Source organism: Homo sapiens, chromosome 8 (assembly GCF_000001405.40).
Source record: "Homo sapiens chromosome 8, GRCh38.p14 Primary Assembly".
NCBI lineage: Eukaryota > Metazoa > Chordata > Mammalia > Primates > Hominidae > Homo > Homo sapiens.
The window spans coordinates 64,608,824-64,625,506 of record NC_000008.11 but is presented as its reverse complement, the minus strand read 5'-3'; the positions used below and the strand labels follow the sequence as shown (position 1 = coordinate 64,625,506).

General features: G+C 35.9%; 1 protein-coding gene across 3 annotated transcripts in view, besides 1 other annotated feature; it reads left to right on the top strand.

The window, feature by feature from the left end:
* CYP7B1 (cytochrome P450 family 7 subfamily B member 1) overlaps positions 1-16,683 on the top strand; it is a 212,163-nt gene that overhangs the window by 173,231 nt on the left and 22,249 nt on the right. For all 3 annotated transcript variants that reach the window (NM_001324112.2, NM_004820.5, XM_017014002.2), the window contains 3 exons: positions 968-1,104; positions 9,226-9,816; positions 10,275-10,481. In NM_001324112.2, coding sequence (NP_001311041.1) covers positions 968-1,104; positions 9,226-9,816; positions 10,275-10,481 — 935 coding nt within the window. The remainder of the gene's footprint in view (positions 1-967; positions 1,105-9,225; positions 9,817-10,274; positions 10,482-16,683) is intronic.
* Positions 15,211-15,744: an enhancer, noted in NCBI's record as "NANOG hESC enhancer chr8:65522320-65522853 (GRCh37/hg19 assembly coordinates)". NCBI's record gives its function as "activates a minimal SCP1, AML or CMV promoter by ChIP-STARR-seq in naive H9 embryonic stem cells {active_cell/tissue: H9 hESC(naive)}" and the evidence as "EXISTENCE:reporter gene assay evidence [ECO:0000049][PMID:30033119]".

Sequence of the window (16,683 nt, the reverse complement as noted above, 5' to 3'; positions counted from 1 at the left end):
TTTTTATCGATATTATAACTAACAATTTCATAGAGTAAATTATATCAAACAGTTGATTTAGTTTCCCGGAGATCTCCTTAGTCACAGGTACCTACCTATGATGACGGGAAACAGAATAGGAAATAAATAAAACAGATTGTAACTTAACTATCAGGCAGTCATCCAGGCCTTGCAAGACACAATTCCTTCAAAAAATTGCTCACCAGGATGCAAAGGCGTACGAATGATATAATAGGCTGGGCGCGGTGGCTCACGCCTGTAATGCCAGCACTTCGGGAGGCCGAGTTGGGCAGATCAAGAGGTCAGGAGATCAAGGCCATCCTGGCTAACACGGTGAAACCCCCTCTCTACTAAAAATACAAAAAATTAGCCGGGTGTGGTGGCAGGCGCCTGTAGTCCCAGCTACTTGGGAGGCTGAGGCGGGAGAATGGCGTGAACCCGGGAGGCGCAGCTTGCAGTGAGCCGAGATCGCACCAGTGCACTCCAGCCTGGGTGACAGAGCGAGACTCCGTCTCAAAAAAAAAAAAAAAAAAAAAAAAAAAAAAAAAAAAAAAAGAATGATATAATGGACTTTGGGGACTCAGTGGGGGTACCCAGGGGGAAGGGTGGGATGGGATGAGGGATAAAAGACTACATATTGGGTACAGTTACATTGCTCGGGTGATGGGTAAACCAAAATCTCAGAAATCACAACTAAAGAACTTATCCATGTAACGAAAAACCACCTGATCCCCAAAAACTGTTGAAATAAAGTTGCTCACCAGAAGTTATGCATTTATCCATACATACTGGAGAAGCTCAGTAAACTCATGTCTATGATTATATAAGAATCACTGAGTAAGAGAATAGAAAGAAGCAGTGCAATCCATGCAGTCACCTTCTAGATTCAGTAAATAAACCACCTGTATTCGAATAAGAATGATTTGATTTTTCTTTTGTTCTTTTATCTTTTTTTTTTTCCTTGTAGGAGACCCGGTGAGCCTCCATTGATAAAAGGTTGGCTTCCTTATCTTGGAGTGGTCCTGAACTTACGAAAAGACCCCTTAAGGTTCATGAAAACACTTCAAAAGCAACATGGTGACACTTTCACAGTTCTTCTTGGTGGTAAGAAGCACTTCTATTAATACCTTATATATGTCATCATTTTTCACTTGTTCTTTAATGTCTTTCTGTTTTTCTCTAGGCAAAATGTAGAATATTTGTATATTTTTATTTTATTTTGTAGAGCTAATGTGAAAGAAAACTATTATTTTTAGTTCAGTGATCCTCACATTAAAAATCAAATTATAGAACTCTCTTCATGGTACTTAGGGAACCCTTCTTTCCAGCCATCACCTGTCATTTTGGTTTGGTTTAGTTTGGTTTTAAGAATGGTAGAAAAAAAAATATATATATATAACTATACAAAAGCTAGAATGTATTTTTTAAATTAATGCTCTTTATTTGTAGAGGAGTTTTAGGTTTACAGAAAATTTAGTAGTTCAGAGAGTTCCCATATACCCCCTCCCCCCAATCACAGTTTCCCTGATTGTATCTATGTAGTATATTTGTTACAACTGATGAACCAATATTGATCAATCATTAAAAATCCATGATTTACATTACAGTGTACTCTTTGTATTGTGTAGTTCGTTGGGTTTTCACAAATGTATAATGACATGTATCCACCATCACAGTATCATATGGAGTAGCTGTACTCTTCTAAAAATTTCCTGTGCTCCACCTATTCATTCTTCTTCCCCTGCCTCTGAGTCTCCAGCAACCACTGGTCAAGAATGTATTTTTCATTTTAAAACTTTCATTGCACTTCAGACTTTAATAAAGTACCAAAACACCAAGAAAAATGAAGAAAAAAACAGCAGAATTGCTACACACCCCAAACATTCTAGGACTGGGAGGAGAAGCTAGACTGTTACTAGTTCACAACATTTTTTAAGACCCAAACTATGTAGCTGTATCAGCTATTGATTGCTGAGTAACAAATCCCCAAAAAGTTTAATGGTTTAAAATAACAACTGGTCTGGCCTGAGTCACTTGTGTGGCTTTTCTGGACTCTGGATGGGAACTGGATGATCCGAGATGGTCTCATCACATACCTGGGTGGGCTGCCTTTCCACACGGTCTTTCATCCTCAAGAAAAGTTTCTTACATGGCAGTTAGTGTCTCAAGGGAGTGAGAGAAAAAGCTTCAAGGTCTCTTGAGGCCTAGGCTCAGATATTGCAAAACCTTACTTCCACCACATCCTATTAGTTAGACCAAGTCACAGTGCAGTCCAGAATCAAGGGCAGGGAAAGAGACTCCACCTCTTCCTGGAAGGAGTAGCAGAGTCACATTGCATGGGGGCACATGTAGAGAGATGGAAGGAATACATCATAGCTATCTTTGTATACAATCTTCAACATCAGTTTATGGCCTGGGCTAGCTATTCCCTCTCTTTGCTTTTGCATGTCCTGTCTGTGCTCTGTAAGCTGATCTCTACACACTAGATTACCCACACTCCTTTGCTTGTTGAGTGTTGCCAGTGGCAGGAAAAGAAGAGGCTGAGTCTCACTCCCCACTCTCACTGGGGCTCTGGTAACACAGTTCACTCTCCTTCCTTCACAAGGTAACTGAAGATCCAGTATAATCTCCCTTAGATCCCCATGTATCTACCAAATGTACCTACGTTTCTCAATGATTTACCATGTTTTCTCCAATTTCAAAGAATGTTCAAGACACTCCATCTCCCTGTCCCCATGACCCTTTCTTCTTGCCGCCTCTGGACTGGTACATCTAGATTCATTCCTCTCACACATGCATCTTCATTTTTTTCTTTCTTGGGCTCTTACCATCACTTATAACCATGCTTAAGGTTCCCCTCTAGTTACTTTCCACTTTTCTTCTTTTCTTTTGCATTCAGCTCTTTCAAGAGAGTTGCATATATTTGCTATCTCTAGTTGCATATCTCCCAGAGCCCTCCTAACTATAACCAGACTTCAGCCTTGCTGAAGTTATTCCCTGGTCCACCTACCTAGACCTCTCTACCTGGTTTGACAATGCTGATCTCTTGTTCCTTCCTGAAATACTCTGCTACTCCTTTACTCTCTATACTCCCCCTTCTAGTTCTTTATCTAAATCATCTACATGCATGCCTTTTTCTTAGCTCAACCCTTACATCTTCCTTCAACCAGCCTTGGAAGTTTATGTTCTATTCTTAGAGAGCCAGTAATTTTTTTCTGCCTGTAACTACTTTGCTGAGGGTCAGAGGCAACCTTTGGAAACTACAGTGACTTAATTTCAATGCTTTATTATGCAAATAATGCATTTTATGCAGTATTATGCAAATAATGCATTTTATGCAGTATTATGCAAATAATGCATTTTATGCATTATTATTCAAATAATGTATTTTAATGCAGTATTTGGGAGAAATGATCCAACTGGAGGAAATTATCAGCATGATTGAGTTCTCCCATGGACAGACAGTATCAGTTTCATCACAACTTACTCCTTTGCCTGGAAGCTGGCCAGTCTGAGGCGGGTGGATCACGAGGTAGGAATTCGAGACCATCCTGGCCAGCATGGTGAAACCTCATCTCTACTAAAAAAAAAAAAAATACAAAAATTAGCTGGGCATGGTGGCATGTGCCTGTAGTCCCAGCTACTTGGGAGGCTGAGGCCAGAGAATCGCTTGAACCCGGGAGGCGGAGGTTGCAGTGAGCCGAGATCGTACCACTGCACTCCAGCCTGTTGACAGAACGAGACTCCATCTAAAAAAAAAAAAAAAAAAAAATTGTATGCATTCTGATTTCAGAAAAATTGAAATGGAAAAAAATCATGCATCTTAGAGGAATTATATTATATACAGTAGTCCTCATGAGGCTCCCCAAGATCAGGTCTCCACCAGCCTTTCCAGCTCAGTCTCTTGCTGCTGCTCGCCTTGTGCTTCACACACCATGAATGCACCATGTTGTTTGAAATTTCCTCCTCACACGCCATACCTGGTGGGGCCTCTGGGTTTTCTTTATCTTGCTGTTCTTTCTGCCAGAATGTTATTGTTTACCTGACTGACATGGACTCAACTTTTGAGGCCAGAGTCACACATTGCTTCCTCTCAAGAGCCTTTGCTGACTCCTCCTATATTTGGTGCCTCTTCTCCAGGGTCGAGTTACTCCCAGTATCACTTCTGTAGGAGCATTTAATACATTGTGAAGTTATTACCAACTGACTTATCTGTCTCCCTTCATTATTCTGTTAGCTTCTCTATTGTCAACATTTAGTCTAGAGCTCAGAACTGATTCTCAACGAATATTGGATGGGGAAGCCCCTAATTTCTTAGAGCTGATGAAACACTGGAATACTGTACAGATAAAAGCCTGAGCTGGTGCTTCTCCTCTAAGTGAGCCTTGGGCTTTATGGTACCAAAACTATATTGTTCACTTAAAAAGAGTCATTCTTACTTTAAATAATTAACACTGGTGTTTCTAATGAATAGATAGAACAAGTGATTGAAATGTTCAGTTTTTCTTTTTTTAATACCAATGTACAAAAATAACCTAAGATGATTATGCAGAAAGTTGTGGCAGATTTGAATCACTTTATTCACTTTTCAAAAAAATAGCCAATTTCTGCTGATGCTTGATTTCTTAATCTTAGGTACCAAGAAGCTTGCTGAATTTCTAACATCTGAATAATTTGACCATGGTTATGTTTGAACTCAACAGTAGACAACCAGTTAAATGTGCACGATACCTCCCTTTTGCTTCTTACTAGAATTTGAATAAATTCCTGTCAAGAAATCCTGTTAATGTATATGGTTCTAGTGATCAGTTTGCAAAGTAGCTCATTTAGAAAATGTGAAATGAAGAACAAAGTCTTCCGCTCTTGTCTCATAATGTGATTTCACTGAGTATATGTTCTTGCATGATGAGCAAATGATTGTCATCCCCAAAAGTCTCAAGGGACACGGATGTCATCTTAATAAAGAAATTAAAAAGTACATCTTTTCATGAGAAACCATGTAAATTCTTGACCTGTCGCAGAAAATAGTTCTCTAATTGGTTTTGTGTGGTGGTGCAGTGGAATCGTTTTCCCTAGATGTCACCCCAGCAAAGCACCACTGTACATCATTGTCAGCAGCTAGTGAAATCTTCCTAATAAGCGGGGGGATATGTACATGTGGCCATCCTCATAAAGTACAAAGTTGACTCATATTTCACTCTTCCAACCGATATTTTCAGCTTGAGATTAAAAACTTCTATTGTAAAACAACCTAAACACAGAGATGAAAAGCTTCTAATTATGAAAATTGTTAAAATTCAAATTTGTCTCTTCTTTTTTTAGAGATAGGTTCTCCTTTTGTCACCCAGGCTGGAGTGCAGTAGCATAATCATAATTCACTGCAACCTTAAATTCCTGAGTTCAAGTGATCATCCCACCTTGGCTTCCTGAGTAGCTGGGACCACAGGTGTGTGCCACCACACCTGGCTAATTTTTTTTAAGGTTTTTTGCAGAGGTGGGGTCTCCCTATGTTGCCCAGGTTGGTCTTGAACTCCTGGCCTCAAATGATCCTCTGGCCTTGGTTATATTTTTTTTACAGGACATTTCTATGCCAAGCAGCCAATTCTCATGGATATATGTATATATATCTATATCTTTGTATAGCACCAAATATATAAAATGAAAACACCAAAATTCAATTTATAATGACCCAGATGTCAAAACTTTTTGTTTGACATTAGGGTGAATGACTGAATTTTTAAAATACATTTACCAACATACTTTGAATTATGTAGCTTTACCTTCCTAAAGAATTAATTTTAACGGAAGTGGAAAGGCTACTGAGGTGGTAAAGTCTCTTATGCAGCTTATACAGGAATGCTACAGTTAATATTGTAAGGCCAGTTAGCTCCTAAAAAGGGAAGAGAATGAAATGATTGGCAAGGAAGATATCAAAAATTTGGAGCTGACTTCAAATTTACTGCATCTAAGAATGATTTATATTGTATTTTTCTTGCAGATATCAGCCCCACTTTGACATTTATATTTTAGACAAATGCAGACTTTGAAATTCTTTAAATCAATATTTCATATCAACTGCTGACAGCATTCTCTTCTCTTTGGAAAACATGGCAAAGGGTATTGTTTTTACCTTGTGATCTTTGTAAACTAGGTAACATGCCTGCTGACACTGGCCATTCATTTACATAAAATCACCCTGGAGCAAAAGTTAATGTTGCTGCAAGAATACACGGCCTTCAGAATACCTTTTCAGAAGATTTCCTTTGTTAAGAAATTTAAATTCATTTTATGAATGTATATGAGTTTTCCTAACTGTCTGATTAAAGATCACAAAGAAACTCTGGTTTTGCATCTCACATTAGCAGATGGTGGACAGATGGTTTAAATTAATATTAATTTTGGAAAACTTAGCTTAAATTGTTTATACTGAAGATTAAAAGTTGGAAAGCCAGCTAACATCTCCAGGGTTATTAGTACTTCCAAACCCACATGAAAAGTAAAATCCGGAAAATCAAAACATCTTCTTCTGAACCAATTCACATCTCAATAAAAAAGATAGTAGGTAAAACACAATGCCTTGATATTGAAGGACACTGAAATAAGAATGAGAAAGAGAAAATACAGATCCTAGACTGAAAAGAGCCTTGAAAGGAGTGAGATTAGATCTACAAACAAATGAAGTTAACAGTACTGATTTTTATAAAGAACTGATATACAAACAACTGCTTATATTTTTAAAAACAATTTATTAGTAATTGGTTGCTAACTTGAACCATTTTGTCCACATTCAACTTTTATTCCTTTTATTTGAAATTAACCTCATTGTTTTTTCCCATACCCTTATTCCCAAGAGGATGGGGATAGGAGAGAGGAGGAAATAGAGAGACAGAGGGAGAGAGGGAGAGAGAGAGAGAGAAAGAGAGAGAGAGAGAGAGAAAATGAATGTGTGTATTTGTAATGATTGTAGACAAAACAAAAATTGTAACATGTGTACAGCCTCTACTTCAGTAGGCCCAATAACAGGTAGCTCATGCTGTCATGTCTGAATATATTTTCTGTTTCCATTTAGATTTAGATGAATATAGAAAATTGTAGGAAAAAATTCAAAATATTCTCTAAATATTGTGTGTTTTACTAACTGAATCTTTTATACACTCTGGTAATATTAGGGAATAATTTAAAATAACCCCAAAGATATTTAGCAAAATCCTTTTATTTAGTGAAAGGAGAAAAGTATGAATCACCACCTGTGAAAATACACAACTTTGCCTAAAATTATATCTTTTGCAAAATAAGAAAATTGATTTTTTTCAATTATTTGACAGGCAGATGCTGGCAATTTTATTTAATTAAGCTGTGATGGTAAAGCAGGTGTCATAAAATATGCCTAAATTGGGTTGAATCCTTTTTGCTCTCCCCAGAGCACATACACACACACAAATTTAGTTTACCTTGTAGAAGACAGCTTTGGGATCTGACCAGAATGAATAGCCACTTCTAGCTTTACTGGCATCCTAGATCCACTCACATTATTGAATTAATCAAGGGGAAAATGAGTGAATAAAATTTAAGTCATCTGAGTCATTTTTAGAAAATAAATCATAGCACATGTATATTCATGTATATTAAAAACTTGTGTTTCAAAATTGTGAAACAAAAACATATTTATCTGTTTCTAGGATGAGGTTGAAAATTATTTCAAAACTTTATTTGAAATATCTTGCACCAAATTGAATTAAATTTCTATGATGCCGTTTGAGTTACCATAAATAACAAGTGAGAAGTTGTTCCGCTAACAGAGCAACACACACACACACAGACACACAGACACAAACAGGAATAATGACATGAAGACAATAAATAAGTAGATGTTAACGTTTTTAGGATCATCTAAAGTTTATGCCTGTTCTGTACAGGAAAGACATTAAATGTCATTATTTATTACTATCTGCTTAATATTTCTAATTAGAAGGAATCTTAAAACAGCACTCTAGTGAGAAGACAAAGAATAGTGCATGGTGAGTAACTTCTCATCAAGGGTCTACCACTGAAAATGGCAGCATGATCTTGACCCGTAACATCTCTTGACTTTCTTCAGCTTTATCAACTGATAAATGCAGATGGTAAACAAGCAATTCTCCAAGGTCTCTGCCAATTTTGAGAGACAGACTATAGTAGACTGTGTCCTTCAAGGTGCATCCTTATAAGAATCACTTGAGGACCTCATCGAAAAGGACACTGGTAGGACCCCCTCCAAGCCTTCTGAATCAAAATCTTGCAGGAATCTGTATTTTTCGCAAGCATCCCAAGTTTTTAAATTGATAAGTTTGGGCAACACTGATATGTTGAAAAGGTAAATGTCATCACCTCAAAGAGACCTTGGTGATAACTCCAGGCTGACTGAAGCAGACTCTACTTTCTGCTTTCCTTATGCTGTGTTTCACCCCTGCCGTATCACAATCCATAGGGATGCAATGATTTCTATACATAATTGTATCTCAAAAAGAAAGGGATCCAACCAAGTTTCCAGATCTTAATAAATGTGGTGAATGGTGAATGACTTCCTGAAGGAATGGATGAATGGATGTGTTCTAGTTTGGAATCCTGTGTCAGTCACAAGTCAATATGTGACCTTGAACATGTTATTAAATCTCCCACATCCATAAAAGTGAAAATGCTGGCATTAGTGGATTTTTGCCAGTGTTGAATTAGACATTTATTTGTGAGTACCTGCTCCATACAGTATGGTCATTTATTTGAGTTAAAATTGTTGTATTTGAACAAAACTCAGATGACACCTAAGCATGAAAAAGCTCTTTATGAAGTATAAATACTCAGAAATGGAATGGCATGTTGCCAATTTGTTTTCTGCTTTATTGAGGGAAATATATGAGAAGTATTTAAGTCAGGGGATTATGAGAATATTTAAAGGATATTTAAAGTGTTCAGGTACTTTAGTTAAAATAAAAATTGGAAGAGTAAACCATCTTTGCAAAGGTTAGTAAGAACTTCAGGATATTTAACTTCACGTTTCTAGAGTGTTTTCCACCATCTTTCAAAGGAAACATGTAGTGTACCTTCGAATGAAATGGATTTGTATTAAACTTTTTGCCTTAGTTATTAGGGTCTTTCTAATTTTGATTAACATATTTTTTAATTTGTGGTGTTTATTTCTGTTTTATTAACAAACGAACTCATATTTTCTCTCTCTTTTTTTTTTTCTAGGAAAGTACATAACATTTATCCTGGACCCCTTCCAGTACCAGCTAGTGATAAAAAATCATAAACAATTAAGCTTTCGAGTATTTTCTAATAAATTATTAGAGAAAGCATTTAGCATCAGTCAGTTGCAAAAAAATCATGACATGAATGATGAGCTTCACCTCTGCTATCAATTTTTGCAAGGCAAATCTTTGGACATACTCTTGGAAAGCATGATGCAGAATCTAAAACAAGTTTTTGAACCCCAGCTGTTAAAAACCACAAGTTGGGACACGGCAGAACTGTATCCATTCTGCAGCTCAATAATATTTGAGATCACATTTACAACTATATATGGAAAAGTTATTGTTTGTGACAACAACAAATTTATTAGTGAGCTAAGAGATGATTTTTTAAAATTTGATGACAAGTTTGCATATTTAGTATCCAACATACCCATTGAGCTTCTAGGAAATGTCAAGTCTATTAGAGAGAAAATTATAAAATGCTTCTCATCAGAAAAGTTAGCCAAGATGCAAGGATGGTCAGAAGTTTTTCAAAGCAGGCAAGATGTCCTGGAGAAATATTATGTGCACGAGGACCTTGAAATAGGAGGTAAGAACTTCTGAATGAGCACTTGCCTAAAATAAAATCATTTACAATAGACCTCTGAAATAAAAAGACAAAATGGCGACCTTGAAAATTTTTTATGCTCTTTCTAATTGGCTAATGATAAAATGTTTTACTCTGATATAACCCTCTATAATTGATATTTTTTTTTTTTTTGCTGAGGTGGTAAAACAAGATACTTAATGGTGATAATGAGAAAGAGTATAACTAAGCTGCATTTACTCCTCTTATCTCATCCCCCACCACACCGCCCCCCCCATACACATTACATTTTAAACTATTCTCATTAAGCAGAAAATTAGACTTCAGAAGCCTATTGGTTCTCATTAGCATGCACTGATCCTTGGCTGGGTCTGTGTCCTAACATCTTTTAATTAGCACACTGCAAATCTAATCAGTGTAATAAACGCTATTAATCTTCCTTTTCACTTATTTTCTCCCAGCACATCATTTAGGCTTTCTCTGGGCCTCTGTGGCAAACACTATTCCAACTATGTTCTGGGCAATGTATTATCTTCTGCGGCACCCAGAAGCTATGGCAGCAGTGCGTGACGAAATTGACCGTTTGCTGCAGTCAACAGGTCAAAAGAAAGGGTCTGGATTTCCCATCCACCTCACCAGAGAACAATTGGACAGCCTAATCTGCCTAGGTAATTTATTTTTATCTGTTATGAAGAAAAGAAGGTACCTCTCTGCAAACTCGGTTTATCACTCATAGCTGTTTACCAAGAGGTAGAGGACACAGCTGCCTAATTGACATAATAACACCCATTTACATCAATTATAAATTATGTAGTTTATAGCCGTAGATACTCTCATTGCATGTAAACATTAAGGCCTAGGTAATTAACTGTGCAAGGTATGCAAAAGGCTAAACCAAAGCTTTACAATTATTTGAAAAAAAGTTTATGCCTATTAAATCATTTGATTCTGAGCATCTGTTGATGTGCTAATGCTTTCCAACACTGCTGCACCATCTTGTCAAGAAGTATTTAGGGATTGAAAAGGAAAGTATTGCAAAAAAGGCACCCTGTGTGCAAATTGTATTTCTTCCCTAAAATGATGTCTATATTTTCAAACACAGGTTAGACGTTTTATGGAGTGTGTGATTCTCAAAAACACAGAAAACAGTTTTCCATTGGAAGTTCGTGATTTAAACCCACAAAAAAGGAAAAGAGGGAAAAAATAGAAAAGAAGAAACGGAGGAGGGACAGAGGGAAGGAAGGAAGAGAGAAAGGGAGAAAAAGAAAAGGAAAAGCAACAACTACAAACTATTCCTGTGAAACATTGATATTTTATAAAATACTCACCGACTCATGAGATATACATGGTCACTATTTCAAGTATGTTTGAGGTTGGTAGTGACTAAGGTTTTTTTCTATTTCTACATAGGTCTGTACCTCAATGACTGGAGCTTTTAATCGCAGCAGATTTCGTTTAATTAGCACGCTGCAAATTAAAGATTTCGTTCCCCTTTACTACTTTGAGAAGGCTGTTCACTACCATTCCCTGACTGAACTTCTACTGCCAAAGTTAAATTCCATACCAATGAGTTATTCTCTATTCTCTCTGTATTGACATTTCATCCTGCGGTATCCTTTAGGGTACAATATTCCAAGTTTCTTTAGACAAACGCAGGAACAAATGTTCACATATTTCTGTTTCTTTATTCCTTTGACAATGTAGGCGAGCATTTTAGCCTATGTTGGTCTCAATTTTTTATCTTTTAAATATGTTCCAGGTTCTTTAATGGGACCTTTCAGGAGCAAAAGTCCTCCCAGGTTTGGTCAATGTTCACCCTCAGTGGCCATTGAGGAAAATGCCCCAAGTGTTCTAGAGATTGTTCTCACTTCTCAGGCTAAGGCCCATTGAGACAATGCCAGAAAGCATGCCTTATACTAGCAGTCAATTTGGAAGTTTGTAGTTTGTGTCTTTAGCATAGGTTATCAAATAAATTTTATATTTTCTTTTAAAAAAATCTCAACATTACTAAAATACAAATATTCTTTTATTTTTCTTTGCAGAATTATTGGGGAACAAATTCAGAAAATTTGTGTAAAATTTTGGGTAGTTGCTCCACTTGGATACACAGTATTTTCTGGCATATTTGTAATTTCTATGAAGATCTAGGTTGCATTTCCCATACATTCAAGCAGTTTCCATTGCATTTTATGAATAAGATGACGCATACTGGGAAGTAAGGCAAATACACTAAAAGGAATATGTGTTTGTATTCTGTATAGTTATTACTCTTAAAAAATGTAGTTGTAATTCATCCACTCTTTTTACTTTCAACTTTTTGCTATTAAAAAATCATTTTTAAATTTCAGTATTAAAGCAGAAACATTTAAATTTATTAGACCAGAAAAAATGGCAGATTCTAGAACTATAATTTGAATCCATTTAAGCCCATAGCTAGAGCTAGAGATTTTCACTGTTGGATCCCTCATAAATTGACAAGTCTCCTATCATTGACAAATGAATAAAAACAATAAAAATCCCAAGCAAGTTTAGATCCACCTGGATAAAGGCAGTACCTTCAGCAGCCTGGATGGTTCATCACGACCTTGGTTACCAGCAGAGGCCAGTGTTGTTCATTACGAGAATTTAAAATGATGGGGCTGTTTGTGATCTAGAAAATAGTGTGTATTTTTTTCTTTCAAAAGATAGAAGGTTTTATGCAGATCAGAGCAAACTTATATGTGAATTAGTTACACAACAAATAACCTCTGCACATAGTCATAGCTCAGTTGTATTTCTCTATATCAAGAGAGCATGAAGTATATGTACAAAGGCAAGACTTACACAGTTAAATATTTACCATGTGCCACGTGGTATGTGTGTATGTGCTTATCCTTCTTGTCTTCTTAAGGAAAGAGTTCTATGTATTTTAAATGCAATGTCTTAAAAAAAAGTTTAAACTTTTATCATTATAAGAGGAAAAAAGATTACAATGATAAAATGATTGCTGTACTTTTTACCAGGAAGGAGGATTTGGGCACTATTACAGTAAAGAGAAAAGAGGTTCTTCTTTTTACAGAAATTTTGCATGTCAGCACACTTTGATTATAAAGCAGGGTGAGAAGAAACGTTAGACTGCCAAAGTCTGTTTAAGTAATTTAAAGCAATCATCTGCTGTAAGAGGTTATGATAGATTTGTCCTTTTTTCAATGCTTTTGAGAATCTCTCTTTAAAACTATTCTACTCTTATTTTAGGCAAAGAAAACACAACTATATATTTTATATATTTACGTATCTTGTTAAGATTCTGCTTATGACCTCAGTAAAACATTTTATCTATTAATAATTAGTTAAGATCTCTATAATTACATTTAACTGAAAATTTAAAATAAGTAGATATAAGGTTTCAGTAACTGTTACTTGGGGCTTAAATCTCAATAGGAAAAAAATTGCTGATAGAATGGAAGTTTGAGAAACTCTGAGAGAAAAGTAAGAATTTTTCAGTTATCTCAGAAAAAAATCTGGGGTGGAGGTAGGATTTAGAACTGCGGGTTTAGATATAGGAAAAAGAAAAGTATAAAAGATAATTCAGAAAGACAAAGATAAGAAAAAAAGATAATGCAAGCAGTAAAAGCTCTCAAAATTGGAATTTTGATAGATCAATTGCAAATAAGCTTGATGAATACCACTTCTTAATGGTTTATTTGAATAATGGATAAATAACTTAGTATAATGGTACACGGTATAGGCTCAATAAATGTTATCTGTTGTTATCACCAAAATGACATTTAACCTCTGCAATGTCCCTATGTAGTTTATATTGTTTTCTTCATTTGCAATTATTTATGAACATCATGCTCAAGTCTACCTTACCTCACAGGAGCGCTCTTTCGATGACTCACCAGTGAAAAGAGCAAACATACTCTGGAAAGTCAAGGTAAATCAGAACTGCCACATGGCTCAGGTGAATTGTAGACACCTAATGTTGTTGAGTGACGTATCCTCAAATTGAGAAAAGTTGCAAACATGGTCCAGGTGAGGGATGTTAAAGTAAAGGGAGATGCCTTAAAACTGGAACTGGGCAAAATCTGTAATACTTTTTTAAAAAGAGAATATTAAAAATTATAACTCTAGAAGTATGAGCTTGCAGTGAGTCCACATCGAAATTTGATGAAAGATTTTGAAGCCGATTGTGAGTAGTTGGTGTGGGAGGAGAATACAGAAAGGAAAAAATTAAGGTCCTTTAATAACAAATAATAATGATAATTAGATGCAATCCATGTTAAATATATTAACGATTTCAATATTTCAAAGCAATCTTATAGACATTGTTTCATGTCATCAGCACCAGGATACTCTGGAGGACAGTGACAGCTATTATTTTGTCACTTTCACAGATGAGAAAATTCTCAGGGTGCTAAATACCCCGTCTAAGATCATGGAGGTGATTAAGAAGAAAGGCAGGTCTTTAACTCAGGTTTTCTGACCACGCCCATGCTTTTCCCCTCAGGCCTGTCTGATACCAGAGCCCTTGAGATCTTTTTTCATTATCCCAGCTGAGAGCGGAGAGGAATTCTTTGTATCTCAGTTCTACAAAGCCAGGCATGATGTGCATGTGGACAAGATCAGGCAACATGGGCCAGAGGATCATACAGTTGGCTGAATTTTTAGCTTCAGGATAAGATATTATGAATGATAATATTAATAATTATTATTTGAATATGTGCCTGCCACTGTGTTAAGTGTTTTATGTATATTAGGTTATTTGTCAAGTATTATTTTTATTCAATTATTGAATAATGAGGTTCAGAAATGTTGCTAAACTAATGCAAGTCATACAGCTAGATAGTGGCAGAACCAGAAGTTGATGCCAGATCTAACTTTAATGCCTACCCATAATGACTGTCGCCTCAGACAAAAATGCTCTAGAAATGGACTGGAGACCTTGACCAGTATTTTTTATAAGATATATATTACTGATTCTCAAATGCAGTTGGGTTTAAGGGTAAGGATAGAACTAGAGGTTCACATTAGAATCTTGTGGGTATTTTTTTAATAAAAATGAACTTTTTATTTTAGAATAGTTTTAGATTTATAGAAAAGTTACAAAGATAATAGAGAGCATTCCTATATATCCCCCACACAGTTTCCCTTATGAACGTTTTACGTTAGTGTGATATGTTTGTAAAGATTATGGGTGTTATTTTGAAAAAGCTCGTTCAAATATTATAAAATAATTGTGTATTCAAAAGCTTAAAAGATTACATAATTCAGACAGTAGTGAAGTTTTGCAACATCCTCTCTTCTAATGAGGATTTACAGAAGACATAACTTTATTTAGGAACTTCTAACTGGAGGAAGTGGGTGAAGCATCTTCCACAAAGAAGTACATCAGAAACTCAGGGATGTAAATAGTGAAAATTTTATATCTAATATAAGGAAACAGCAGTTAAAAAGTGAAAAATACTGATTTCGATGTTCATCGGATTTTCAACTCAGCACAAAGCTAAGGTGGTTAGATAATATAAGGAATGCTGGAAACAGAATCTGAAAGGATTGAAAAGCAACTTTAATTAAAATGCAAATTATTGTATTTAGATCTAAATATCAACTTTGTAAGAATAGGATGAGAAACATGTGACTCAGCAGAAAAGGGTTTGAAGCAATGGTTCTTAGCTTTGATTGCTCATTGGAACCACCTGGGAGGCTTTAAACACTTTGCATACCTTGCCCCACCCTTAGAGATTCTGATTGCATTGGTCTGGGGTGCAGACTGATGGCTTTAAAAAAAGCTCCCTAGGTGATTCTAATGTGCAGCCAAGATTCAAAGCCTCTAACTGAAAGGTTTTAGTTAATGCAGTGGTTCTGATTCCATTAGACTGGAATGGGGCATTTATTTTTTTAAGCAATCCCAGGTGATTCTAATGGCCATCCAGGGTTGCTGATAATCTCTGGCATATCAGAAAATTTAAAACAATAGTGATATTATTTCAAAAATCTGTTGCTCATCTGCTCCCAGGAAATAGTAATAGAAGCATGGTGTCTAGGGACATAAATTAATAATTCTGTACTTTTCCAACTAAAATAGTACACACCTAGTTGTGCCAAGTCTTAAGAGGCACATTGACTAATTGAATTCATCCAGCATGGCAAAGGCTAAACACCATATCATCTCTGATACACAATTAGAAAATGGCATGATAGTTGTCTTTACATACTTTGAAAGGGTTGTTATGTGGAAGAATGATTAGACTTTTTTGGCCTGTGTGTTTTATAAAGGGTGGAAATTAAAAGGAGGAAAATTTCACCTCAGTATGAAAAATGGCTTTCTACTAAAATGGGCTTTCTGAATGCTATCATTGGAGTTATCCAATTAGAAAATGTGTAGTATCAAATTGCCACAGGAGTAGATTTTAAGTTTTCTCACCACAAATAACTGATCAGTATGTGAGGTAATTGCATATGTTAATTATTGGACTTAACCATTCCAGAATGTGTGCGTATTTCCAAACAACAAGTTGTACACCATAAATATATCCAATTTTTATTTGTCAATTAAATAAATAAAAGCAACTGTGCAATATCTTCAGTAGGATCTTGGGAGCATTCCTGTTTATATGTATTTTCCAACTTTGAACTTCCTAGATTGCATTGTCCATGAAGGCCAAGTCCATGTGCTGTGTTCCTTTTTCACACCAGCAGCAGTGGCCCAGTGCTCCAAGCAGAGTAGGGCCTTAACAAACATTTATGGAATATATGAACGCCGAATTTACATGTCTGTATTTTAGCAGTGAACCAAAGACTGTGTCTGAGATGCAGAGTGAAGATAGGCATTTGTACCAATTCAGATTTATTTTTAACTTTACTTAAGATGTACAATTGTTGAGCCAA